The 27431-nt window shown below is 46.3% G+C and overlaps 1 long non-coding RNA gene across 1 annotated transcript in view, besides 2 other annotated features; it reads right to left on the reverse strand.

Annotated features, from left to right (window-relative positions):
• Window positions 2610–2659: an enhancer, noted in NCBI's record as "active region_12681". NCBI's record gives its function as "activates an Ori minimal core promoter by ATAC-STARR-seq in GM12878 lymphoblastoid cells {active_cell/tissue: GM12878}" and the evidence as "EXISTENCE:reporter gene assay evidence [ECO:0000049][PMID:35858748]".
• LINC00511 (long intergenic non-protein coding RNA 511) overlaps window positions 3098–27431 on the reverse strand; it is a 42432-nt gene continuing 18098 nt past the window's right edge. Inside the window, exons 3-5 of the long non-coding RNA NR_033876.1 lie at window positions 23373–23621; window positions 8160–8865; window positions 3098–4201 (exon numbers count right to left, since the gene is read on the reverse strand). This is a non-coding gene — a long non-coding RNA (long intergenic non-protein coding RNA 511). The remainder of the gene's footprint in view (window positions 4202–8159; window positions 8866–23372; window positions 23622–27431) is intronic.
• Window positions 7894–8861: an enhancer, noted in NCBI's record as "OCT4-H3K27ac-H3K4me1 hESC enhancer chr17:70598976-70599943 (GRCh37/hg19 assembly coordinates)". NCBI's record gives its function as "activates a minimal SCP1, AML or CMV promoter by ChIP-STARR-seq in primed H9 embryonic stem cells {active_cell/tissue: H9 hESC(primed)}" and the evidence as "EXISTENCE:reporter gene assay evidence [ECO:0000049][PMID:30033119]".

Here is a 27431-nt window from a genome sequence, read left to right on the forward strand (position 1 = left end):
GCTAAGAGGGTCCAGAAGCAATGGCAGCCCAGTAGCAATGAGCACTGGATCTAAGCGATCATTTAGCACCTAGGTTTGTTTTTATACTATTGTCCAACAGAAGGAACCAGAGCTCATTGGAGAAACAGCTGATTCTAGGACTGGGGCAGGAAATATGCAAGATGAGCCTGGAGCACCTCGTAGTGTCAGAAAGTAAGAAAGTGCTAAAACACACTGACACACAAGCATACACACCATACAATGGTGGGGCCACGAGAGAAGGACATAGAAACCAACTGAAAGAGCTCTTAATCGCCAAAGTGGGGGAACCATTTGAACAACAACTTAAGTAAAGTGGTATTAGATTATAACCAAAGTAATAAAAAAATTCATGAGTTCATATTGATATAATTAGGTGATTGGAAAAATAAATACACAGAGGAAAAGAAATCTGTGCAGAAGAATTTCAAAAAATGTATGTAAATACACTGCCCTCCAGGAAGTGGAGTATAACTCCCCATTTCTTAAGCGTTGGCTGCACACAGTGACCCCAACTGAGAGATGGTCTACAAAACACCTCATCAATAACCCTCAAAACTGTCAAGTTCGCCAAAACCCAGGAGAGTCTGAGAAACTGTCACAGCTCAGAGAAGGCTGAGGCTTGATGACTGAACGTGGTCTTCTGGATGGAATCCTGGACCAGAAAAGGGACATTAGGTAAAACTAAGGAAATCTGATAAAGTGTGGGACTTTAGTCAATAGTAATGTACCAATATTGATTCATAATTGTTACAAATGTGCCATGTTAATGTAAGATGTAATAATAAGGGAAATTGAGTGTGGTTGTATTAGTTTGTTCTCACGCTGCTGATAAAGACATACCCAAGACTGGGTAATTTATAAAGAAAAGGAGGTTTAATGGACTCACAGTTCCATGTGGCTGGGGAGGCCTCACAATCATGGTGGAAGGCAAAGGAGGAGCAAGGTCACGTCTTACATGGTGGCAGCAAGAAAAAATGAGAGCCAAGCGGAAGAGAAAACCCCTTACAAAACCATCAGAGACTTATTCACTACCAGGAGGACAGTATGGGGGAAACCACCCCCATGATTCAATTATCTCCTACTGGGTCACTCCCACAACACGTGGGAATTATGGGAGCTACAGTTCAAGATGAGATTTGGGTGGGGACACAGCCAAACCATATCAGTGGGTATATGGGAACTCTCTGTACTATTTTTGCAATGGCTCTGTAAATCTATTCTAAAATTGAGATGTTATTTTAAAAGTTACATATGTATTTAATATAAATATGCATATATATGGTGATAAAAATAATTGCAATATCAACCCTCTCTCGTGTATCAAATTTTCTCCTTTTTTGAGTAGATTCATGGCTCTCTATTCTGTTCCACTGGTCAGTTTTTCTAACTCTGTACCATTATCATGGTGTCTTAATTCTAATACTTTTTTTTTTTTTTTAAGATAGAATCTCGCTCTGTCCCCCAGGCTGGAGTGCAGTGCCATGATCTTGGCTCACTGAAACCTCTGCCTCCCAGGCTCAAGGGATTCTCCTGCCTCAGCCTCCCGAGTAGCTGGGACTACAGACGTGTGCCACTGTGCCTGGCTAATATTTATATTTTTAGTAGAGATGGGGTTTTGCTGTGTTGGCCAGGCTGGTCTGGAACTCCTGACCTCAGGTGATCTGCCCACCTTGGCCTCCCAAAGTGCTGGGATTACAGGCGTGAGCTGCCAGGCAAAGCCCATTCATTTCTTACACCTTATTTGGAACTTCTCTCACTTTGTCTTCTTCAAGAGTTTTTAACTATTCATAGACCTCTACATTTACAATTAAATTTAAAATGAGCATATTACATTTCAGGTGAAAATAAATGAAAATTGCGGAGGAAAAATAACTTCAGAAGCCCCTCGTTGCCCACAAATTCACATATAAACTCAACAGCCTGGCATCAATGCCTTCTGCAGCCTAACCTTAATCTACTTTTTCAATCTTTTCTCCTGTGCTCCCCAACAACCCCTGTCCTGTGCTCCAGGAAAACTGGAATATTTAATATTTCCAAAAAGACCTCAATTCCTCTAGTCCTCACTGTGGCTTCCAGAGCCTCCTCTATCCAGAAGGCCCTTTGCCTCTGCTTATGGAGTTTTGTACTCTTCCTCTATCTGCTTTTTGGGGGCAGCTCACACACCACCTCTTCCATGAAGACTTCCCAGATCCCCAGTAACTGAGAGAACTCCATTAAACCACCAAGCACTCTGAGTCCCTTTCTAAAGTAAGTTTCTTGAGGTCTTCCATTTTATTCCCCTTTGTCACGATCCTCCCGTCTCCACCATTTAAAGTATTGCACATAGTTGAGGCTTATTAGGTATTTTGAAATTAACTATGGCACTTGGATCAGAGTTCTTGGTGCCAGCATACACTTGTCTTCACGGGTAGGACCAATACCATCATAGGTGCTGGTCTTTTCAGAGAGCTTGCTGGGTGCCAGACACTGTCCTGAACCTTTACAATGTATCTCATCATATAATCTCCCAAGAAGCCAACAGTAGGTACTATGATTAACTCTATTTTAGAAACAAAGAAATCGAAACTGAGAGCAATGAAGCACCTTGCTTAATGTTGCAGACGAAATAGAAAGGCCAGGGTAAAAATGCAGACTCCTCTCTCAGAAACTTCATCCTACTCCACAGTTTCAGTTAACGTGTCTATAAATTTCCCAGCAGCAAGGACTGGATCTTTTTACATTGTTGTACCCGCTGCACCGAGGATTGTTCCAGGAAGAGTAAATGCTCTGCACAAGCTGATGTAAGAATGTGGCTGAACAGGTGTAAAGCACCCAGCACACTGCCTTGCCCATTACAGGCACTAAATAAATGTTAGGGATCTTAGTAAGCCTACCTGTGCTGCTGTCCTTCCTTCTGCCCCCTCCCTACCCTGCCTGGGCTCTTCCATTGCCCATCCCACTCCCCCATGTGTGAAAGGTGTGGCTTAGGTATTGGATAGAGCCGATAGAGAATCTTTCCACCATCACAGAACATTCTATTGGACAGGACTGCAACAGCAGCATCGCCTGAGACTTCATTAAAAATGGAAGACTTCATACTGTCCACCGAGCATCAGAATCTGCACCTGCTGATGCACATTATTTTTATTCTTAATTTTGCAAGTGGATATAAATATACATAGTCAGCCCCCTGTGTCCATAGTTCTGCACCTGTGGATTCAACCAACTGCAGATCAAAAACATTCCAGAAAAAAAAATCCACAAAGTTCCAAAAAGCAAGACTTAAATTTTCTTCACACCAAGTACTACATTGAATCCACATGAATGAAGTGATGCACAGGCGTTGTGTTAGGCATTATAAGTAATCTAGAGATTATTTAAAGTATATAGGAAGAGGGGAGTAGGTTATATGCAAACACTAAGCCATTTATGTCAGGAACTTGAGCATCCTTGGATTCTGGTATCCACAGGGCATCCTGGAACCAATCCCCCATGGATACTAAGGGTCAACTGTACCTAATTTTAGAATTATTTTTAAATTAGCAAGTCAAAACCCCCTGGACAGAGTGTTTTAAACAAATCAAATGATATCCTATATCTGGTCTTGCAACACTCTTTTTTTTTTTTCTCTGAGCTATGTGTTGTGCAGAATTTTCATAAATCTAGCAGTTCAAGGGAGCTATAGCATTAGGGAATCATTTGACACAAAATAAATTTTAAAGGAAGTTCACAGCTGGCCTGATGCCCCACATTGAGCGAATGCCTCAGATCACAGGATATGCATATCAGTTGGTTAAAATATGCAGATACACTTGGTATCGATATCCAAAAATATCAAAGGGAGGTTTGCACAAGGAGAGAGCCAAAGCACTGTGGCATGTTTGAGAGGTGAGAGGGCATGCCAGTGGGATCTAATTATAAATCCCAGGCTGCTGAGGTTTTCATGCTTGACACAGAGATTAAAATAACTCAAAAACAAACAGTCACAGATTTCAGCCAAAAACACGCTGTTCTTTAGTGGAATAGTTACTCCAGAGCTTCCAAGAAATTTCAGAAGGTGTGAGCCAGTCCATTCAATTTTCAAACAATTCGAAGAGTGAGTCCTCATGCCTATAATCACGTGAGGGGATCGTCAGAGCTCAGACCTTTCTTTCCATGTCACGAGATGATCCAGTTTTTTTCTCCATCCTCTTCTTCTCCCCTCAATAATAAATGATAAAAAGCATTCATTGAGCACTTACTAAATGTTCAGCTCTGTGCTAAGCACTTATAAACCTATAATGCTCACTGAAACCCTAAGAGATAGGAAAGATGATTATTGCTGTGTTACAGATAAGACAGCAGAGGCTCAGAGTAACTTGCACAGGGTCACGCAGCCCTTTCCGCCATCTTCCTCCTTCCTTCCTCCTGGCTTCATCAAATGGACTCATCCTTCTTTGCCTCCAGGGGACATCTCATCTCTTGAGTCCCTACATTCTAACTCTTACTTACCTCTACCATGCCATTAAAAGTGTCCTCTCAGCTGGGCGCAGTGGCTCACGCCTGTAATCCCAGCACTTTGGGAGGACGAAGAGGGTGGATCACTTGAGGTCAGGAGTTCGAGACCAGCCTGGCCAACATGATGAAACCCTGTCTCTACTAAAAATATGAAAATTAGCCAGACATGGTGGTGCATGTCTGTAGTCCCAGCTACTTGGGAGGCTGAGGCAGGAGAATCGCTTAAACCCGGGAGGCGGAGGTTGCAGTGAGCCGAGATCGCACCATTGCACTCCAACCTGGGCGACAGCGTGAGCCTCCATGTCAAAACAAAAATGAAAACAAAAACAAACAAACAAAAAAACCAGTCTCTTCTCTAGGGTCCCAGAAACCTGCTAACCACTAACCACCGAATCCAGGGTGCTGGTTCTAGCCTTCTTAGTTTTGTTCTCTGCAGTTTCTTTTCCCAAAATCCCCTTTTCCCATGGCTTTTGCCATTGTGTGCCAGGCACGAGGTCTCTGCCCACTGACTATGCTCCCTTCCCGCCCCCTACCTATAGGATGCATCCCAGGCTCCAGTCCTGAGCTGTCCCCAGGTCTCCTTTCTTCAGTACCTTGCTCCCTCTCATACCCAATCCTGCCAACGAAGTGGTTGGCTCGATTCCAGGTCTGCTTTCCTGACTGCCCATCAGACATGTCTACACCAGCTGAAACCCAGGCTGTCTAAGAACAAGCATCTATAACTACCCACTGATGATGCCCCACCCAATGGCCCCTTGCTACCAAATTGCCCTGCAGCCACAGTGGACAATTCCAGCAAGTGGCCACCTCCTGCCTCAGCCACCTGTGACTCTTGTTTTTTTCTTTCTTTTATTTTTCTTGCTGTTCTTTGGCCTTGTTTAGTTCCTTGCAGAAGCATCTCAGAAGTGCCAGGGGTTTACCCTGTCTAAGGACAACCCTCAAGGAAGGGAGTCATTAGATAAATATTCCATCTTTTTCATCCTTCGATTGGGCAATTTTGGTTTTTTTTGTTTTTGTTTTTGTTTTTGTTTTTGTTTTTGTTTTGAGACAGGGTCTCTGTCACCCATCACCCAGGCTGGAGTGCAGTGGTACAATCTTAGCTCACTGAAACCTTGAATTTCTGGGCTCAAGTGATCCTCCCACCTCAGCCTCCCAAGTAGTGGGACTAGGGACTACAGGCACATGCCACCACACTTAGCTAACTTCAAAATTTGTCTTGTAGAGATGAGGTCTTGCTATGTTGCCCAGGTTAGTCTCTAACTTCTGGCTTCAGGGGATCCTCCCGGCTCAGCCTCCCAAAGTGCTGGGATTACAGGTGTGAGCCACTGCACCTGGCCTGATTTGGCACTTCTGAAGTTTATTTTATTGAGTTGCTTGGAGGGTCCCCAGTGAGATTCAGCCCTGTATGCCCACAGCATAACCTCTCATTCGCCACCCTTTATTGACTTTTCTCCCTCCCAATTCTCTCTCTTTGTTCTTCCAAAGATAAACTCACAAATCCAGTTACACACAAACGTTTCTCTGCCTCGAGAAGAATCCAAAATAAGATACCAATCACAAATCATTTTTTTTTCCTGCTGGATTCTTTGCTGAGGCCTGTGATTTTTCTAAGTCTCCCAGACATCAGGGTTCCAAGCTTAGACACATTCTGTATTCTTTTGCTCCATCCCCTTCACCCTTCTGAGTGTTTGTGACTCATGGCTTTCAAATGTCTAATATTTCCATTATTCCATTCTTCCCAGCCTGGTGCAGGTCCTACAACCTCACACTGTGATGACCCCACCACCACCACCGTTGCTCACACCATCCCATCTGCCAGAAATGCTTTTCGGACTTTGCTGGGCTTGTCCTTGCAGAGTGCCTCTTGTGTGCCCTGCCTTGTGCCAGGCAGGTACTTCAGACTCCTGGGATGACCTTCCTTCCCAACCCACCCCCGCGATGGCTGTCTTCTCAGAACTTCCCTTACATTATCATGTACTCCATTCATCTGACATTGAGATATACTGTCTTTCACCAGTGGTTGTTAAGATGTGTACATTTCTGGCTCCTCCCATTAATTTTAAGTGTTCTGGGATCAAGGAGTATATCACATATGCTTTCTTGCTTGCTTTTTTTTTTGTTTTTAATCCTTTTAACAGGGGCTCAGTCAACATTGGCTGGTTTAATTTGACTGATAATGTTAAATTGCCAACAAAGCAAATGCAGGTAAATAGTGCTCTTGAATGTGGACAAACGGATTCCTTCCCCAAACTGTGCTGAATCAATTTCCAGACGGCTCACCCACAAAGTCCTAACCAAAAGCTTGGTATTACAGCAAGCCGCCCAAGCCGGTGGAATTAATTAGCCTGCACCTACGTGCCAACATCATTCTACCAGTCAATACTCTTGATGGTCTGTGATATAAAAAGGATAGTGTCTGTCCTAGAGGTGCTATGAAGAATGTGAATTGGTAGCTTTCTGTCTCTAGATTGAACAGTGGTGACCATTCATTCATTTGTTCAACAAACATCTATTTAGCATCTGGTAAGCTCCAGGTACTGTGCTAGGCACTGGGGATATAATATCAAAGGTGAGAGTCAAAGTCTCTTTTTTGTGGGGAGATGGAATAAATAAGTAAACAACTAAATTAAATTATTGCGGAGTGTGGTAAGAACAAGGGAAGACATAAACCTATGCTATATTAGAGGGAAAAGAGGCTTCTTGAAGAAGGGGTAACTTATGAAACTGATCAAAACTAGATCATCCGACACTGGTACATACACATCCATCACACCCATATAAGTGACGGAGAGGCAGGTGATGTTAAAGGAAAATCTGGCCAGACGTGGTGGCTCACGCCTGTAATCCCAGCACTTTGGGAGGCGAAGGTGGGCAGATCGCTTGAGCCCAGGCATTTGAGGCCAAGCTGGGTAACATGGCGAAACCCCGTGTCTACCAAAAAAATATAAAAATTAGCTGGGCATGGTGGCATGTGCCTGTAGTCCCAGCTACTTGGGAGGCTGAGGTGGGAGGATTGCTTGGGCCCAGGAGGTCAAGGCTGCAGTGAGCCGTGATTGTGCCACTGCACTCCAGCCTGGATGACAAAGATAGACCCTGTATCAAAAAAAGAAAAAAAGAAAAGGAAAATCCACAGTTTGTGCCTTGGAATAACTGGAATTCAAAGCTAGTTCAGCAAATGGCAGTGTCAGCAAAGGGTCTAGTCAAGTTGACTTTGGCTTTAAAAGCAGACAGAGAAGTTTGGTGAAAGGGTGATGTGGAGGTGACTGAGTCAAAGGCTGGAGTGTGGCAAAGAAGTGCATTCCAGGGGTATGATGGAGAGAAAAGCAAAGCTACCGTCTCTTCTACAAGAGGACAGTCAGAACAAACACAACACAGTCTCACATCCAGGGGAAACGTGAATGAAATGGCTTCAGAAAGACCCAGACACCCAGAAGTGCCAGCACCAGGTGACAGAGGGAGGGGACCCATCCAGAACACACCTTCTCCCTGTGGCAGAACTAGCGAAACCAAATAGGGCAACACAGAAAGGCGACCTGGTGTGTGTGGGTTCAGAGCACAACTTCCCCAAGCCTCCTCCAGGGGGTTAACTGGAAGTCCTACCCAGATTTTGCAAGAAGCTTTGTCATGCAAATATTCTCCAAGACATCAGTTCAGGCACTCACCTCAAATGCCCTCCCTTCTCCCTCGGTCATTTCTTCCTTTCCAGTGAGCAGGTCACAAGGGCAGGCGCAGGAGATGTGATTGAGCTGTGCTGGGAAATGCCTCGGCCCCACCCCACTCCTACTACCCCCTGTGAGGAGGAGGCACAGGCGGGCACTGCCCTCGGAACACTAAAGCTTTGTTTCCTGGAGGTTCTGAAATCAGCCTCCTCACGTACCTCACCCAACACCAAACGTTCTGTCTCCACTTCCTCCTCCACCAAGGACTTTGGGGGGCTTGAAGGAGAATGAGGGAGAGCGGCAGAAAGGATGGCTAGCTAGTAAAGCCCCACATGCCTGCTCAGGCCTGTTCAAGCCCAGTGAGGTATATGTGGGTTCAGAACTGATTACACTTCCCCATCTTACAGATGAGAAAATGGGCTTAGAGAAACTGAAGAATTCGACCCGGGTCACATGGTGGGTAGATGCTGAACAGGCTTTGAACTCTGGTAATTCCAAGGGCACAAGCTGTGTATTTTTTCCTGTAACATCACCTGTCTCCTTGCCAGCTGGGCTGGAGAGATGGCTCTCTGTTGAAGAAAGAGAAGACTCAGATTCAAGTTCAGGGTCAGCCCTTAATTAGAGTGTGGGTTTCCTGTGGGAAAATGGGGGTTGGCCCCATGTACAAGTCTCCGATGAGGTCATACGCCGTAAGTCTGTTCCATGGGCTCTGTAGAAAAAACACAGCTGATGAAAAAAATAACAAACCATCACATTGTTATTCATTTATTCATTCACTCATTCAATGAAAGGTTTATTGAGAGGCTTCTAGGTGTCAGGCCCAGGGCAGGGAGAGATAATAAGGATCTGATCCTTCAGCCTAGAAGTGAAAGGCACATTCTTAAGAAATCTATCCAACCCTTCATTTTACAGAGGTAGAAAGTGAAGCCCAGAGAGGGAAAGCAACTCACCCAAGGTCACACAGCGAGGCAGCAGCAACCACCAAGACCTAGGGTAGCCTGCCTGACAGTGGGCCTATCAGCAGCCCAGGCTATCCAAAGAAGGTAGGACATGTCATTCAGTTCAACCTAATAGACCTGTTCTAAATCAACTAAGCCAGGAAGCCAAAACCTGCTTATGGGGCCCTACTGCGGGTCTCCCTGGGGAGAGGAATCAGCCACTGAGCTTTTGACAGAAATCAGCCACCCTGCAGGAGATGTCCTACAGAGATGACCAGCCCAATTTGTTGCTGAAGCCCTCACTTTAGTGAGCCCAGTTCCTAAGCCCAGCACTAAAGATAACACACCTCCCTCCATACTAAGTCCCTGTCAATATTCATCCAGCATCTAAAGTTCTGGTGCCAGAAGCTGCACCTCCACAGATCTTCAAGCTAATCTGTCCTAGCCCAGGTGAGATTTTGCATCCGAAGAAAATAAGACTTTAGTCAGATTACCCAGGAATAGGACCTGATGGGTATCCCAGGGACTAACCCTCTCGCCCTGCAGATCACTGCCTGACCCCTCCACCTGGCTGACATGTCCCTGGGTAGAGAGCTCTTCTGGTAGAGAAGCACAGACGGTTCCGGGAAGCAGGAAATGTCAGGGTCATGGCCGGTGCTAGAAGAGTTGCCTTCTGTCCTTGAAAGCTGAGGTTAAGCCACATCCGATGACCTCAGAGGACATGGCAGGTGAGCATAGGACCGTAGCATGGCAGAAACCCAGCCACCTGCCAGGGCGAGGCCTGCACCCTCGGGGAGCCACTGTAAACATCTGCCCCTCCGCATCACGCAACTTACCAGAGACGAGGCTTAAACACAAGCCTTCATTTTCTCATTAATAAATCCAGTGGTTTCCCTTGGAGAGACTGCCGCTAGCCACTAAATAAACCAAAAAGAAAACTCTCTGGAAAGGCAAACAGGTTTTCAGGCCAATTCTGATCCATCTCAGCAAAGAAGTGGTCTTTGATGCCTCTAAAGCTTTTTGTCTTGGACAACCGGCAGTGGAGCTCAAGGACTCGGGGCTCCATACCTGACTAAGAGATTTTGTCTCTAAGGAGCCACAGGCTGGAAAGCACAGGTTGTTTTGTTTCTCCCAACACCAGCGGGCTCTGAGGAAGACGGAGTCTGCATGAGATTTAGAAAGGTTGAGTAAAAAGACACAGGGAGAGGCCGGGCGGGGTGGCTCACCCCTGTAATCCCAGCACTTTGGGAGGCTGAGGCAGGTGGATCACTTGAGGTCAGGAGTTCAAAACCAGCCTGGCCAACATGGTGAAACCTCATCTTTACTAAAAATACAAAAATTAGCCATGTGTGGTGGTGGGTGCCTGTAATTCCAGCTACTCGGGAGGCTGAGGCAGGAGAATCTCTTGGGCCCGGGAGGCTGAGGTTGCAGTGAGCTGGGATCGCACCACTGCACTCCAGCCTGGGTGACAGAGTAAGACTCCGTCTCAAAAAAAAAAAAAAAAAAAAGACACAGGGAGGGAGTAAAGGAGGCAGAAAAGACCATAAGACCATTACTGCTTCTCAAATGTACCAATGAGGCATCACTTCTGCCTGGGACACCCTCCTGTGCCCAGGAGCTTTGCATGTCTGGCTCACTCCTACCACTTGGTTCTCTGCCCAGTGTCACCTCCCTAGAAGAGCCTTCTCCCACCATGCCGTAAAAGGTGCCTCCCACTTCCCTGTCACCTTCTAACACAGTGCCCTGTGAACTGGGATACAGGAGAAACAAGAGAAGAGCCCCCACTGAGTATAGGAAGAGATCTCCACTGAAAAGAGAAAGAAACCCCCACTGAAGAGGGGAGGGACCCCTCACTGACCATGGGAAGAGCCCCCCTTTGATTATGAGAAGAGCCCCCCCACTGAATGGGAAGAGCCTCCCCAGTTAATATGAGAAGACCCCTCCCACTGACTATGGGAAGAGCCCCCCACTGGCCATGGGAAGAGCCCCCCAGTGAATATGGGAAAAGCCCCCCTTTGATTATGAGACGAGCCCCCCACTGACCATGGGAAGAGCCCCCCACTGAATGGAAAGAGTCTCCCCCAGTTAATATGAGAAGAGCCCTCCCACTGACCATGGGAAGAGCCCCGCAGTGAATATGGGAAGAGCCCCCCTAGTTAATATGAGAAGAGCCCCCCTCCACTGACTGTGGGAAGAGCCCCCCAGTGAATATGGGAAGAGCCCCCCACTATGGGAAGAGCCTCCCATTGGCTTTGGGAAGAGCCCCCCACTGACCATGGAAAGAGCCCCCCACTGACTATGGGAAGAGGCCCCCATTGACTTTGGGAAGAGCCCCCCACTGACCATGGGAAGAGCCCCCCACTGACTATGGGAAGAGCCCCCCATTGACTTTGGGAAGAGCCCCCCACTGACCATGGGAAGAGCCCCCCACTGACTATGGGAAGAACCCGCATCCCCACCCCCGCCACCAAGTATGAGAAGAGATCTCCACTGAATAGGGGAAGAGGCCCCCACCGAAAAGGGGAAGAACCTCACTAAGTATAGGAAGAGCCACCCACTGATTATAAGAGCCCCCACTGATTATAAGAGCCCCCACTGAATAGGGGAAGAGGCCTCCACTGAGCACAGGAAAAGCCCCCAACAGAGTCATGCTCCTGGCCACTTTCTCCACCTTGTCCTCAGAACAAGCCACTGACTGGTGGGCAAGAGCCATGGGCCCAGGTTTCTGGAGTCAGCTGCTAATTTATCTAAAGTCTGTAAGGCCTGGACACTGAGTCTCAGAAGTAGTCCTGCTAGTCTTGCTCTATAGATCCTAACTTGGCCTCAGAAGACTGTCCCTAGAGCTAAACTGAAAGGGGGAACTGAGAGCTCAGGCAAGCCCACCTGGTCCCAGGACAATCAGGTTCTCCAGCCTAGCTCTGATCATTAAAAATCACACATGGGAGCTGCACCTGCCTGACTGCTGTGCCCATGTCTCTGTTGGCTTAAAAATCAGGCAAAGACTTCCTTAGACCCTTTCTATGTGTTTGTTTATTTTGATCTCTCCTCCATTAGAATGTAACCACCAGGGTCTCTGCTTTTGCTCACTGTATCCTTAGTCCCTAGAAGGGTCCCCAGCGCCTAGTGGGTGAGTATCAGATATATATTGCTAGAGAAAACAGATCATCATTATTGAGGGTCTACTATATGCTAGGCATGAGATGGATGTCTCACCTGATCCCCTTGACAACCTTTAAGGATGATGTGATTAAGCCCATTTTGCAGATGAGGAAACTGGGATTCAGAGATAGACAGTGAGCTTTCTAGCATGACATTAATGAGGAGCATCACGCCAGGCCCTGAAGTGCAGGGGGCTCTCATTCCACGGTTTTAACACTCAAAACCACAGTGGAAGTTCAACACTACCAACAGCAATCATTTCAAATGAAAAGAACAACTCTTTAATTACTTTGACAAGTTGACTTTTAACCTACCTATTTTCAAAAAGTATTTGAGTCAAGAAGAAATAGAATATCTAAACAGACCCATAACAAGTAAAAAGAGACTGAATTAGTTAAAACAAAACCAAACCACATGAAGCAGAGCCTAGGACCAGATGGCTTCGTGGATGAATGCTACCAAACATTTAAAGAGGAATTAACTCTAATCCCTTACAAGCTCTTCCAAAAAAATAGAAGAGGAGGGACAACTTCCCAATTCATACTATGAGGCCAGTATTATTACCTTGATACTAAAACAAGACAAAGACACCACAAGAAAAGAAAAACACAGACCAATATTCCTTATGAGTAGATGCAAAAATCATCAACAAAATATTGTCAAACTAAATCCAGCAACATATAAAAAGAGCAGACACCATGACCAAGTGAAATTTATCTCAGGAATGCAAAGATGGTTTAACATAGAAAAATCAATGTGACACACCATATTAACTGAACAAAGGACAAAAATCACATGATCATCTCCATTGACACAGAAAACACATTTAGCAAAATTCAACACATTTTCATTATAAAACACTCAACAAACTAGAAATAGAAGGGGATTTCCTCAACTTGACATAGGGCATCTATGAAAAACCTACAATTAACATCATACTTAAGGGTGAAAGACTGAATGGTTTCTTGTCAGGAATAAGACAAGTATGTCCACTCTTACCACTTTTATTCAACATTGTAGTGGAGGTTCTAGCCAGAGCAATTAGGCAAAAAGAAAGTCATCCAGATTGGAAAAAAAAAAAAAAAAAGGAAGCAAAATTATCTCTATTTGAAGATGACATGATAAGAACAAATGTTGGCGAGCACATGGAGAAATTGGAACCCTCATCCTCTGCTGGTGGAAATGTAAAATGCTGCAGCCACTTTGGAAAACAGCCTGGTGATCCTCAGATGATTAAATATAGAGTTACCATAAGACCCAGGAATTTCATTCCTAGGTATGTAGTCAAGAGAACTGAAAACGTATGTCTATACTAAACTTGTACACAAATATTCATAGCAGCATTAACCATAATAGCCCAAAAGTAGAAATGACTCAAATGTTCATCAACAGATGAATGAATAAATTGATATATCCGTAAAATGGAATATTATTCAGCCATGAAAAAGAATGAAATACTAATACATGCTGCAACATAGATGCACCTTGAAGCCAGACACAGAAGCCACTAACTGTATGATTCCATTTATATGAAATGTCCAGAATAGGCACATCTCTAAAGACAGAAATAGATCAATGGTTGCCAGGGGCTGAGGCATGCAAGGAATGAGAAATGTCTGCTTATGGTTATGGGGTATCTTTTGGGGGTGCTGAAAATATTCTGGAATTAGACAGTGGTGATCAATGTATGACTTTTCTGAGTTGTACATTTTAAAGGGTGAACTTCATGGAATGTGAATAATATCTCAATAAAGCTGTTATTTAAGAAAATGAGGCCAGGCACAGTGGCTCATACCTGCAATCCCAGCACTTTGGGAGGCTGAGGCAGGCAGATCACTTGAGGTCAGGAGTTCAAGACCAGCCTGGCCAACATGGTGAAACCCTGTCTCTACTAAAAATACAAAAATTGGCGGGGCATGGTGGCATGCACCTGTACTCCCAGGTATTCAGGAGGCTGAGGCAGGAGAATCGTGTGAACCTGGGAGGCGGTGGTTGCAGTGAGCTGAGGTCATGCCACTGCACTCCAGCCTGGGAGACACAGCGAGACTCCATCTCAAAAAAAAATGATAGGAGGTGCCCTCAGCAAAAACACATCTCTACAAATTATAATAAAGACCAGTAACATGATACAAGTAGAGACAAATAGTTAAAGGGAGAAGGGAGAAGAGCAAGCCGCTCGTAAGTAATGAGGAGAAACACTCTCTGAGTGATGGCCTAGTCTTATGCTGGCATTCCAAATGAACCTTGTGAATAAAGGCACATTTGAAAAACACTGTCATTTTAATGTTTCCCAATATAGCAATGCAATACTACCAATATCATCAAAAACAGTTGGAATGTAATATTTAATGGCAAATGGTGAGATCTAGAAATTTTTAATATAAGCCAGGGAAATAAGAAGGGACTGTCTGTTCTCCATTCTTGGCCATTTGAGTCACTCTGTTGAAGTGCATTTCTGTGGATGCATTTGATTTCATATTAATCACCACTGCATTTCTAGCTCACCATGTGGCTTTTGGCCAGGCATTCACAATTCACCTATAAAACGAAAGGGTGGGGCAACATTCTTTGCTGTTCTAAAATCTATGACTTGACTTGGCTCAACCGGAATATATGAAGCATGGAAATCTCTCTCTTTGTGTCCTTGAAGGGTTTACATTTCTTTTAATGGCCACAAATTAGAAGCAAGAAATAATGGGTCAAGTCATTACTAAATAGTATTTATTTCCAACCCAAACGTTACTTTTAATGGGGTACTAAACTAAGCAGCAGAAGTATGCAATAAGAACAGAGGAAATGTCATGTCCTCCAATCTTTGCTCAAATGTCCCCCCTCTCTTTTTTTATTTTTTGAGACAGGGTCTTGCTCTGTTGCCCAGGCTGTGAAGTGCAGTGATGCTATCATAGCTCACCAGAGCCTCAATCTCCTGGTCTCAAGGGATCCTCCCGCCTCAGTCTCCTAGGTGGTCGGTTCTACAGGCATGCATCACCACGCCTGGCTAATTTTTAAATTTTTTGTAGAGATGAGGGTCTCGTTATGTTGCCTAGGCTTGTCTTGAACTCCTGGCCTCAAGCAATCCTCCCGCTTTGACCTCCCAAAATGCTGCTTGAACCCCTGTGCCTGGCCAAATGTCTCCTTTTTTTGTTTGTTTGTTTGCTTGCTTGCTTGTTTGACACACAGTCTCACTCCGTCACCAGGCTGTAGTGCAGTGGCACAATCTCAGCTCACTGCAACCTCTGCCTCCCGGGTTCAAGTGATTCTCCTGCCTCAGCCTCCCAAGTAGCTGGGACTATAGATGCATGGCCGCCACACCCAGCTAATTTTTGTATTTTTAGTAGAGACAGGGTTTCACCATATTGGCCAGGATGGTCTCGATCTCTTGACCTCGTGATCCACCTACCTCAGCCTCCCAAAGTGCTGGGATTACAGGTGTGAGCCACCATGCCCGGCCCCAAATGTCTCCTTTTTAAAGAGCTCTCAGCCTCTATTTAAAATTGCAACCCAATGGCCATGCCTCCCTCCAGCACTGGAGATTGTCTCAACTCTGCTTTCCTTTTCTTTTTCAGTAGCACTTATCAACTTCCAGTAGATAATATAATTTACTAATTTAACACACCTATTATTTATCACCTTTAGAAGCAGATTTCTCTGATGTATACTATGCACCCAGCACTGTACAGAAGAGAATTCTGAGCAGGAGAATTGGACCTTTTCCAGTATACTGAGACTTCTTCCAAAACTTAAGAAAATGTTTAGCTGGAAGATAGTCTGTGTCAGTCTGTTTTAAAATACAGGCATGCACACTGTGCCATGATGGCTTTCCCATCTCAGTAGTAGACTCTGCTTATCATGTCCATCAACAATCAGAAAATAATGATTTGTTCCTACATCAACACTGCAGTTACTCAGTTCATATATTTGTTTATTGAACTGAGAGCTTCTATTAAATTGTGAATATATCAAATAGTGTTTGTTGAGCTGAGAGTCTCTTTATGTGATAAGTTTGTTTCTAAAACTAATTGCTGCTTTAGAATACCTATAATGCAAATTATTCCGCCTGGTACCCGCTCCTCCTTTGAGAACAACGCTTCCCACCTCGTCCCACGGTTCTGGCAGGAGCAGCTCTGTTGGTGCATGGCCTTCTTCCTCCCCTTGGCTACAGTTGACGGGTCCAAGGATGGGCATCTGACTTTAGCTAATCCAATCAGAGTCCTGCCTTGAGATTTGGCTGACTAGAACCGAATAAGGGAAGCTCGCCCTCAGTGAAAGCTGCAAGATGTAAAAGTCAAGGGCAAGAGGGTGCTCATGTTTCCTCCCAAATGAAGAAAGCAGATCTGTAAAGAGAGAGAAGAAAGCTCCGTGCAGAGAAAACTCATTCCACACATGCCCAGAAGATGGACTATATTCTTTCTGTCCTTCCGGTTGATATTTCATTCTTTCTTGATTGTTGTTGTTGCTTTGTTTTGACATAATCCTTCCAATAAATACCTTGGGATCCATGCTAGTCCCACTTGGGGATCTACTCCTTGCAGCTCCCAATCCATGCATTAAGAGGTCATGATAAAGACAGTCACAGCTGGCCGGGCACAGTGGCCCACGCCTGTAATCCCAGCACTTTGGGAGGCCGAGGCAGGTGGATCACCTGAGGTCAGACTGGCCAACATAGTGAAACCCTGTCTCTACTAAAAATACAAAAATAACTGGGCATGGTGGCAGGTGACTGTAATCCCAGCTACTTGGGAGGCTGAGGCAGGAGAATTGCTTGAACCCAGGAGGCAGAGGTTGCAGCGAGCTGAGATCACCCCATTGCACTCCAGCCTGGCCGACAAGTGTGAAACTCAGTCTCAAAAAACAAAACATGACCGGGCGCGGTGGCTCACGCCTGTAATCCCAGCACTTTGGGAGGCTGAGGCGGGTGGATCATGAGGTCGGGAGATCGAGACCATCCTGGCTAACATGGTGAAACCCCATCTCTACTAAAAATAAAAAAAAAAAAATTAGCTGGGCATGGTAGCGGGTCCCTGTAGTCCCAGCTACTCAGGAGGCTGAGGCAGGAGAATGGCGTGAACCTGGGAGGCGGAGCTTGCAGTGAGCCGAGATCACGCCACTGCACTCCAGCCTGGGCAACTGAGCAAGACTCTGTCTCAAAACAAAACAAAACAAAACAAAACAAAACACAAAGACAGTCACAGCAACTACTGAGACGGGAAAGCTATCATGGCATGGTGTGCATGCCTGTATTTTAAAACAGACAGATACTTACAGACTATCTTCCGGCTAAACATTTTCCTAAGTTTTGGAAGAAGTCTCAATAAATTGGAACAAGTCTCAATTTTCCTGCTCAGAATTCTCTGATGCTCAGATGATGATGGTTCAATTGGAGGTAGCTCACCAGGGCAAACGGCCTGCTTCTGCACTGCCAGAGGAACGAAGGTGGAAGCCGCTCAAAAAGAGGAGCTTCAGTTGGAGCAACTCACCTCAGCACTAAAAGAAAGATGTGAAGTCCCCTGGGGAAGTCAGAAGCCGACAAAGGATGACAGAGAAAACTCCAGAAATGTTAAAGAGAAAGAGATCAACAACTGGTACATTAATAATCTGAATGATAGAAGAAACCTAGAAAATTTGCAAACTGCTTCAGTTGATGAAACTTTTCTCAATTGTAATAATTATTTGTCCATTCCATTATTATAAGGCCTCTGTTTGAGCAGAAATACCATGCATAAAAGAAGAGAAAAAGGATTTGTTCTGTGTGTCTTTTTTTTTGGAGACAGAGTCTTACTCTGTTGCCCAGGCTGGAGTGCAGTGGCGTGATTGGGCTAACTGCAACCTCCACCTCCCAGGATGAAGCAACTCTCCTGCCTCAGCCTCCTGAGTAGCTGGGACTACAGGCATGCACCACCACGTCCAGCTAATTTGTGTATTTTTAGTAGAGCTGAGGTTTCAACATGTTGGCCAGGCTGGTCTCGAACTCCTGACCTCAAGTGATCTGCCTACCTTGGCCTCCCAAAGGGCTGGGATTACAGGCGTGAGCCACCGTGCCCGGCCCTGTGTGACTTTTGACTCCAGTTTTTGGATGAATCAGGGTCCTAACAGGATACAAACAGCACAACCACTTTGGGGGACTGAAAAGAGCTTAAGACAGAGATGATGTATTATGGGATGGGCAGAGTTCAAGGAACCAACAAGGGAGAGTGCAGGTTCATGGGGCCAGCAGTGGTGGGAAGGCATGACCCCCACCCTCTGAAGTCAGACGGGGCAAGGAGAGCAGAATGTTTCCAGAACCCAGAGACAGCAGCTGCGGAGAAAGGACAGCCTGCCAGAAACTGAGGCTACTTTCCTTCCACCCTCTAATCTTCTGCTATTCGCTCCACTTGCTGAACTCAGCTGGAATCCAGTGGCCAAGGGAGCCTGCTGATGCAATCCCTACAAGGGCAGCTCTTGGGGCACAGATCAGGGGTGAAATGGAGACAAGATCTGGATGGGCAAAGGAAGGAGATCCAGCTCACGTTTCAAGGGTGAGTTTCCACTCTCGTGCCAGCGTTAGAGGGGGATGCTAGGGAGAGACAGCGCCCCTGACATCCCCCCCAGCTCTAGACCTCTGTTGCCACTTGGCTTTCAGACATCTGTCCCTCGGTGCCTCTCAGATCTAGCACATCCAAACCAGACCACTGATCCTGCTACTCAGTTCTGAACCATTCTTGGACCTCCTGATGATGTGTCATGCTATTTTTCCAGATTTCTCTTCCTGGCCACCCAGGCTTAAAGCCTCAGGGCTACCTCCACTGTGCCCTCTTCGACATGTGGTCAGTTGCTACCCCCTCCCTCCACAATCCTACACTCCACCATCTTACCCATCCTGTCTTTTCTCATTTTCTTCCAACTAGACCGGTGGCATCTACTTCTAACTGTCATCTCTAATCTCTTCCCCTTTAAATGTACCCTACACACCACAGCCTGATTAATCTGTCTAAAACACAGCATGGATGGTGATTCATCTGCCCATGTCTCAACCAACCCAGCCCTTCCTTGTTCCCCAAATATGCCCCATGCTTGCCTGCCTTCATTTCTTGGCTAAAACCTTTCCTTTGCCTGGAGGAGGGGCTGCCCTTCATCTTTTTCTCCTGAAGCCAAGCTTTCTTTCATGCTCCCAAAATATTTTCATCTTCCCTCCTCCCCTCTCTCTAGATATTCTGCTTGTACCTTTCTTATGGCACATATTCCAGCTTAACTTATATTACCGTAATTCGGGGACATGGGTTCTTTCTTATTTTCCTTACCCCATTGCAAATTTGAGAGCCAGAGTCATGCCCTGTTCATTTCCGTAGTTGCCCCTGAGACCTAGCCAAACAGCTGGCACATAGTGGATGCTAAATCCCCATGCAGTGAATGAATGAATGTGGCTATCACTTAGGATATTTTCCAAAAGCCGTATGTACAATATATTTCTTGGCCTGTCTCTCTTGTCTACATAATGATACAAATCAAGGAAGGCCCTAACGAGTCCCATGTTGATTGTGGGGCATATGACTAATCCCGTAATACACTTGGACTGCTTTATGAAAGCACTTTTCAAACAGCTTTATAGCATATCTAGGCCACAAGGTTGGGAATAGATACCTAGAGATTTATTGGATCATTAAATGAACTAGGGAACAATAGGCATTGTGTTAATTTACACACACAGTGGGAGAGATCCAGGACACCTAAACCATCCCCATGTTAAAAATCAGCCCTCAGGCCCCATATAGTCTGCAACTCACCCAAAAGTACCCCCACGAGGTACACAGGAGCCTCTCCCCAGGCTCATGGAAACAGCAACAAAAGTCTTAAAGTCTTAAGTCCACCACAAAGATCTGATCGGTGTAGGTGGGGGAGGATGGGTGGTGGGAGAGAAGAGAGGAATTGTCAAAAGTGCAGTGATTTAGTGTCTGTCTCTTTCTTCCCTTCTCCCTCCCTCCCTCCCATCACCCTGCCTCCTGCACAAGGAACTATTGAGAAGGCACAGAACAAACGCTCCCTTATGCGGCTCCCACGGCGTCTCTCGGTTTGTCGGAGACAGCTGCCCAAAGCACGCTATGGTTACTCATTACCCGGGTTCCCAGGCAGGAAAAGGAGCAAACTTAATAGACTCGAACTAACCCTGAGCTCAAATACTCCAGCCATAAATAAATAAATAAGTCAGGTGTACCAGGGGAAGGGGAGGGAAGTGAACGGGGAATGGCTGGGGAGGGGTCGGCAGTGTAAGCGGACTGAGTGGGGCCGGGTTGCGGGGGCGGGGGTGGCGGTGAACACAACCCAAGAGTTTCTGAAAGGGGAGGGGAAGGATGGAGGGAGGGAGGAAAACTCTTTTCTCCCTTTGGAGGAAGGACAGAGGGTGTTTGTGTTGCTTGCTTGTCCCCGCCTGCAGAGTGGACGAGAGGCTCTCAGCTGGCCATCTGGGGACCTTGCGGAAAACTAGAACTTTGAGGGGAAAGGAAAGAAAGTCCTGTTTCTCCAGCGTGAGATGTGGCTGGGGTTTTGCTTTCCTCCTGACTCACAGAGTAAATGGTTTAGTTCATGGCCATCGAAGTGCCCATTGAACAGATGGGAAGGGCAAGGATGGAGAGAGAAGCAAAGGGACTGAGGGGCAGAGTGACTGTTGGCAGGAAGTCAGTCGTGCTCCAAAACTTTGAAGTCGTCTCTATGAGTGCTCCTCAACCCACACACTTTTGCCCCTCCCCCTACTCTGGAGACACTGGGCAACGTCTGGAGAGGTTTTTCATGGTCACAACTGGGAAGCCAGGGTGGTACTGGCATTTAGTTGGTAGAGGCCAGGATGCTACTCACCACGCTACAAGGCACAGGACAAAACCCTGTAATAAAGAATGATCCAGGCCGGGTGTGGTGGCTCATGCCTGTAATCCCAGCACTTTGGGAGGCCGAGATGGGTGGATCACCTGGATCACCTGAAGTCAGGAGTTCAAGACCCGCCTGATCAACATGGTGAAACCCCATCTCTACTAAAATTACAAAATTAGCCGGGTGTGGTGCCAGGCGCCTGTAATCCCGGGTACTCGGGAGGTGGAGACAGGAGAATCGCTTGAACCCAGGAGGTGGAGGTCGCAGTGAGCCATGATCCAGCCATTGCACTCCAGCCTGGGAAACAGAGCAAGACTCTGTCTCAAAATAATAATAATAATAAAGAATGATCCAGCCTCAAATGTCACAGTGCTGAGACTGAGAAATCCTGCTCAAGATGTAAGTCTCAGAACCCAACCTCCATCCCAGGCTGCCTCTAATTCTGCAGAGGGCATCTGTCAGTCCATAACAGGTCCATAAATTCACTCCTTCTTCCAGGGTGAAGAATGGAGAAAAATCAAAGAACAGCACATGCAACGATGCATTGGTGATCTCCTTCCTGCTAACCCTGTGGCCAAGAACACAAAGCAAACACGACCCCCAACAGAGAAGGCAGGGGAGGAGCCCACCAGTCAAACCAGCATTCCCTAGTCCCCGCCTGATCATTGAACAGACTTGAGGGGGCGCAGCATCTTTTACCTGGTCTCAGAATTTCTGCCAGTCTTGGCATGTTGGGGGCTTGGGAGGTTGCATTTTGGGTTTTGTTTTATGGCTTAATCTGGACCTCAATTCAGTCAAGTCAATGAGAGCAGGGACAGTCCCCAGTCACCATCTCAGGACCATGGCAAAATGTAATGAGCTTTTTCAGGAATTTAAAGTACTCACAGAAGGGCCTTCTGCAAAAATGAAGCATGACCCAATGAGTGTAGCCCAGCGCAGTGAGGGTGGACAACTTCAAGGCCATTGTTTTTCAGGGGGCTGTGGCAGCCAAGAGTTGCTGGGCCCTGTACAACCGTCAAAGTACTCCCAGGAATGCCACTGGTCTTTCCACAGTTGTCCAGGGGTGGAGAATCCACTGAGGGTCAATGACTCTGTTACAGTCATGTCAGTACCTTAAAGGTTTGTGGTGGGGGGCTGTGGAGGAGTTGGGGAGGGATTATATCTGTAGTGTGTGCGTGTATGTGATGTGCATGTGCATGTATGTAATGTGTGTGTAGATGTGTGTGATGTGCAATGTTTGTGCATATGCGTGTGCTTGTACCTGTATGTGATGTGTATGCATGGCATGTATGCATATATATAATGTGTGTGTGTACGTGTGTGCCTGTGTGTGTGTGTATGACACACCAGCTGATCAATGCCAGAACAAGAAGACCAAGGAAGATTCCAGAGATAAGACTGTCCTACATCTCTGATTGATGGGCATCTTTGAAGACGTAGGCTAGCATCTAGAGGCTTCGAGAGGAAGCTCTGCAATTTCAATTCCTGTCTCTGCTACTTCGGAGCTACGTTACCTTGGGCAAGATGTTTAATTTCAGCAAGACCCAGTTTTTCTCGTCTCTGTAGAGGGGCAATAAAAGGACCTACCTGTGGGTTTCAGGAATTAGTGAATTCATGGAAAGCACCTAGCACTGGGCACAGAGCAAGCACACAGATGTTGCCTGTTCCAATTATCACTGCTTCAGGAGACAGTTCTTCCTGGAGTCTAACCTAAGGCTGCCTGCCTCCTTCCCTGCCTCCGAGGGACTCCATTCCCCTGATCACCATCTCTGTGTGACACAGTCCTCTTGACTTTAGCTGCTTGTCTTTGGGAATGTCAAAACTCAACACTCCAGCTGTCCCCGGTTCATGTAGCCCAGCCAGGAAGGAACCGGGGGAGCTGATCACCAACTCTCAGCCTCACACGTACCTCGGGGACCCCAAAACATTTTCTGGTGGCCCAGCAGACTGAAAAAGTCTGGCTGGGGTTTTCCCCCTTTGTGCCTGCAGCCAATGCCAGCTGAGGCTTTCCCTCCTAATTCCCCAGATGCCTGACGGCGTTATTGCCACAATAAAGCAATGACAGTCCCCTATCAGCTCTCAATCAGCCTAGCCTGCCCTTCACAACCGGTTTGTCAGACCGCCCCGCCCTTCCTCGTTGTTAGCTCTCTGCTTGCTTATCTGCTGCTGGAGACAGAAGTCTCTGGTTTAATTGTGGCAAATTAATGATTGAACTCCACAGCCAACTCCTCCCCAAGTGCACGACAATCCCTCCCATTGAAGGCGCCAAGAAGGAACTCACTGTCATCGCCGAGACCAGAGTCAGCGGGTGAAGGCAGCGACCAGTTCTGGAACCACATTCAGTCCCACACCCAAGCAGCTGAGCGAAACTCTTCCTCCTCCACGAGGCCTCTCCCAGCCCTTCAGTTCATGACGCCTTGGTGAGAGAGGTCTGTATAGCAACACGGCTGCACTGAAGCTTCCTTTGTAGGTCGATCGATGGTGCTGTGCCACATAAATCACCAGCTTATTTCTCCTGGCATGTGAGCACCTATGCCCGATGAGAGCAGATACATAATCAGTGTTGAGTTAATGAAGGAGCACAGATGAGTCTCCTCTCCCGACTCAATCAATTTTATTGTATAATGGTGGCTATATATTTAATAACATGTAACTCACAGGCTCGGTTTCAAGCACTTCCTCCTAATAACTCTACGAGGTAGGTACTGTTGCCATCAACACCTGTTTTACAGATGAGGAAACTGAGGCACTGAGAGGTTAAGTTGCATGTGTAAGACTCTAATGAGTGGCAAACTAGGATTCAGACTCAGCGTCCACACACCTAAGCATCACAGTATACCCCACCCATGAGGATGCTACCCTTATATAAAATGGTAAAATGAAAACCTGGACTCTACCACCCAACTGAAGATCTAGAAGATGATCCATGCCTCACTCTGACTTTCTTTTTCTTTTTTTTTTTGAGACGGAGTCTTGCTCAGTAACCCAGGCTGGAGTGCAGTGGCGCGATCTCAGCTGACTGCAAGTTCCACCTCCCGGGTTCACGCCATTCTCCTGCCTCAGCTTCCCGAGTACCTGGGACTACAGGCGCCTGCCACCACGCCCGGCCAATTTTTTTGTATTTTTAGTAGAGATGGGGTTTCACCATGTTAGCCAGGATGGTCTCAATCTCCTGACCTCATGATCCTCTCGCCTCGGCCTCCCAAAGTACTGTGATTATAGGCACAAGCCACTGCACCTGGCCACTCTGACTTTCTTTATGCAGTCCTTCAGGTTGCCCTTCTTCTTCTTCTTCTTTTTTTTTTTTGAGATGGAGTCTCGCTTTGTTGCCCAGGCTGGAGTGCAGTGGCACGATCTTGGTGCACTGCAACCTCCGCCTCCCAGGTTCAAGCAATTCTCCTGCCTTAGCCTCCCGAGTAGCTGAGACTACAGGTGCGTGCCACCATGCCTGGCTAATCTTTTTATTTTTTAGTACAGATGGGCCAGGCTGGTCTCAAACTCCTGACCTCAGTGCTGGGATTACAGCTGTGAGCCACCACACCCGGCCTCAGTTGCCCTTCTCTCTTCTCCCCAGAACAACAAACACGCTGAATTTTATTACTCCCTTTATTTTCACTGTGGTTTTAATACATATGTACATGTCCCCAAATAACATGCTTAGCTTTATTTCTGAACTTCATAAAAATATATTTATGTTATATGGAGTCTGCAACTTCCCTACCCTGAAGTCACGAACATGTTTTTCTATATTTTCCTCCCTGCTCCTCCAGTGTTCTCTCTCTGCCTCGGCACTCCTAGGTATGACCTAAGCTATTTTAATTTGTATTTAAGGATATATTCTTTGCCAAATGTTATAGAGTTTACAAAATAGCTCCTTGTCCATCTCTTTCAGCACATAATCCCCACTCCTTTCTTTTTCTAACAATCTGGAAGGCTCTACAATGATGGCACCCATGTTTGACAAAGGGTTTCTGGGCACTTCTGAACAGCCTGGGAATGTATTAATAGTTGGGAACTGAGATCAATATGTCTTAGATGTTTCATGGCCTAAGGGACAACAGCACGGTATTGTGATGAGGCTAAGAACAGGCTTTGGAGTCAGGCGTTCCTAGGGTTGAATCCCTCGTGTCAATCAGCTGTTGACACAAGACTGTTGCAAACAAATGACTGGAACACTCAGTGGCTTAAAACAAGGGATATTTCATCCTGCATTTGCAGTCCTGCAAGGCTGACTGTGGTTCTGTGATCTACAATGGACTCAATGTGCAGCTTAGCTTGAGTATGCCTATTGACGGAGCTTGGATCCCAAGCCATGGGTTGGTATCCATTATCTACTGCTGTATAACTACCCCAAAACTTAGTACCTTAAACAACAATTACGATTTCTTTCTCATGATTCTTTGGGTTGCCTGGGCTGATCTGCTGATCTTGCCTGGGTTCGCTCATGTGGGTAGGGTCCAAGACAACCTCACCTGTGCAGCAGTTTGGTGCTGGTTACCCACTGGGGCTCTTCCATTCTCTTCCACGTGGCTTCTTCTCAAGCAAGCTAAACAGACTTCCTCACAATATGGTGGACCCAGGGTTCCAAAAGGGTGGGAGTCCAACATGCAAGATCTCTCAAGGGTTAGGCTCCAGAACCCACACCCTTTGCTTCTGCCACATTCTATTGGCCAAAGCAAGCCACAAGGCAGCCCCCAGGTGTGGGATGGTAGAGAAATAGACTCCCGCTCTTGATGACACAAGTGGCAACGTCACACTGCAAAGGGCCATGAATTGAGGTCCGTGTGATTCCTTGGTTGGTGGGGGGCAGCGCAGGGAGGTGATTAACACAGTCTAGCACATTCGGGCCCTAGTCGACTCATGTTTTTTCTCAAGCCAAGACTGAAGGGCCTGTTGTAACCTGGGACACACACTTCTTCAGGTGACCACAGGAGCCCAAACCAAGCCAAAGTGCACAAGTACCTGGCAGCTAGTACTCCTGGTGTGGTTGCTAACATTCCATCAGCCAAAGCACATCACACGGCCAAGGCCAACACCACGGTGCAAGGATAGCAGGAAAGGGTGTGTGTGTGTGTGTGTGTGTGTGTGTGTGTGTGTGTGTGTGTGTGTGTATAAAACCAAAAAATAAACCAAGCTATCATAGCCCCACTGTAAATTCTCATTCATAGTTGACCCATCAAAAACATGGGTTGTTTTAAGGCAAAGTGACCAATTCATCCCTATTTGCTTGGGACTTTGTTGGATTTAGTACTGAAAGTCTCATATCCCAAGAAACCTCTCAAACCTGGGCAAATAGGGATGGTTTATCTTCCCTATTTTGAGTACTAAAGGAGATCCTCCCAATGGCTGCCAGCCAGATATCATCATTATGACTAGCCCCACTCTGCAGAAGAGAAAAGCAACTTTTCAGTGGCTGTAGAGACAGTAGGTGGAGTAGCCAATATTCAAACCTGACCCTATTGAAGCAGCTCTCTCCTATCATATGTTTCTCATGCCTGTTGCCTCCAAAGTCCTTCTCATTTGAGGTCTCCCTGGTCTTTATTTTTTTTGTATTAAAACAATTTATCTTGTTTTGAGACTGGGTCTTGCTCTGTTACCCAGGCTGGAGGGCAGTGGCATGATCTTGGCTCACTTGCAACCTCTACCTCTTGGCCTCCAGTGATCCTCCCACTTCAGCCTCCTGAGTAGCTGGGACTCCAGGTGTGTGCTACCATGCCTGGCTAATCTTTTGTATTTTTAGTAGAGATGGAGTTTTGCTATGTTGCCCAGGCTGGTCTCAAATTCCTGGACTCAAGTGATCTACCCACCTTGACCTCCCAAAGTGCTGGGATTATAGGCATGAGCCACCATGCCCAGCCTAAAACAAAATGTTTTAATTGGCAAATAATAATTGTACATATTCCTGGGGTCCATGGTGATGTTTCCACACATATAATGTATAGTGATCAGATCAGGGTAATTAGTGTATCCATCATCTCAAACAGTGATCATTTCTTTCTGTCAGGAACATTCACTATCCTTCCAGCTATTTGAAACTATATATTACTGTTAACTATAGACATTCTACAGTGCTATAGAAGACTAGAATATATTCCTCCTATCTAGCTGTCATTTTTTATGGATTTCAACAAACCTCTATAAAGGGGAATGAGTTTCTCTCTGTAAAGGGAGAAACCAAGTCCCAGAGAAGTTAAGGGGGACATCTGCCAATGAGGTATATGGAATACTGGGGCCAGCCTGAAACAAAGGGTAGACACAGGAAACAGAGGGGCTAACCCGTAACCAGGAGGAGGCCCTGAGAGCCAGGGAGGAGGATGCTGCCTGGGCTTGGGCTGGGCTT

This window comes from Homo sapiens, chromosome 17, assembly GCF_000001405.40.
Source record: "Homo sapiens chromosome 17, GRCh38.p14 Primary Assembly".
Classification (NCBI taxonomy): Eukaryota; Metazoa; Chordata; class Mammalia; order Primates; family Hominidae; genus Homo; species Homo sapiens.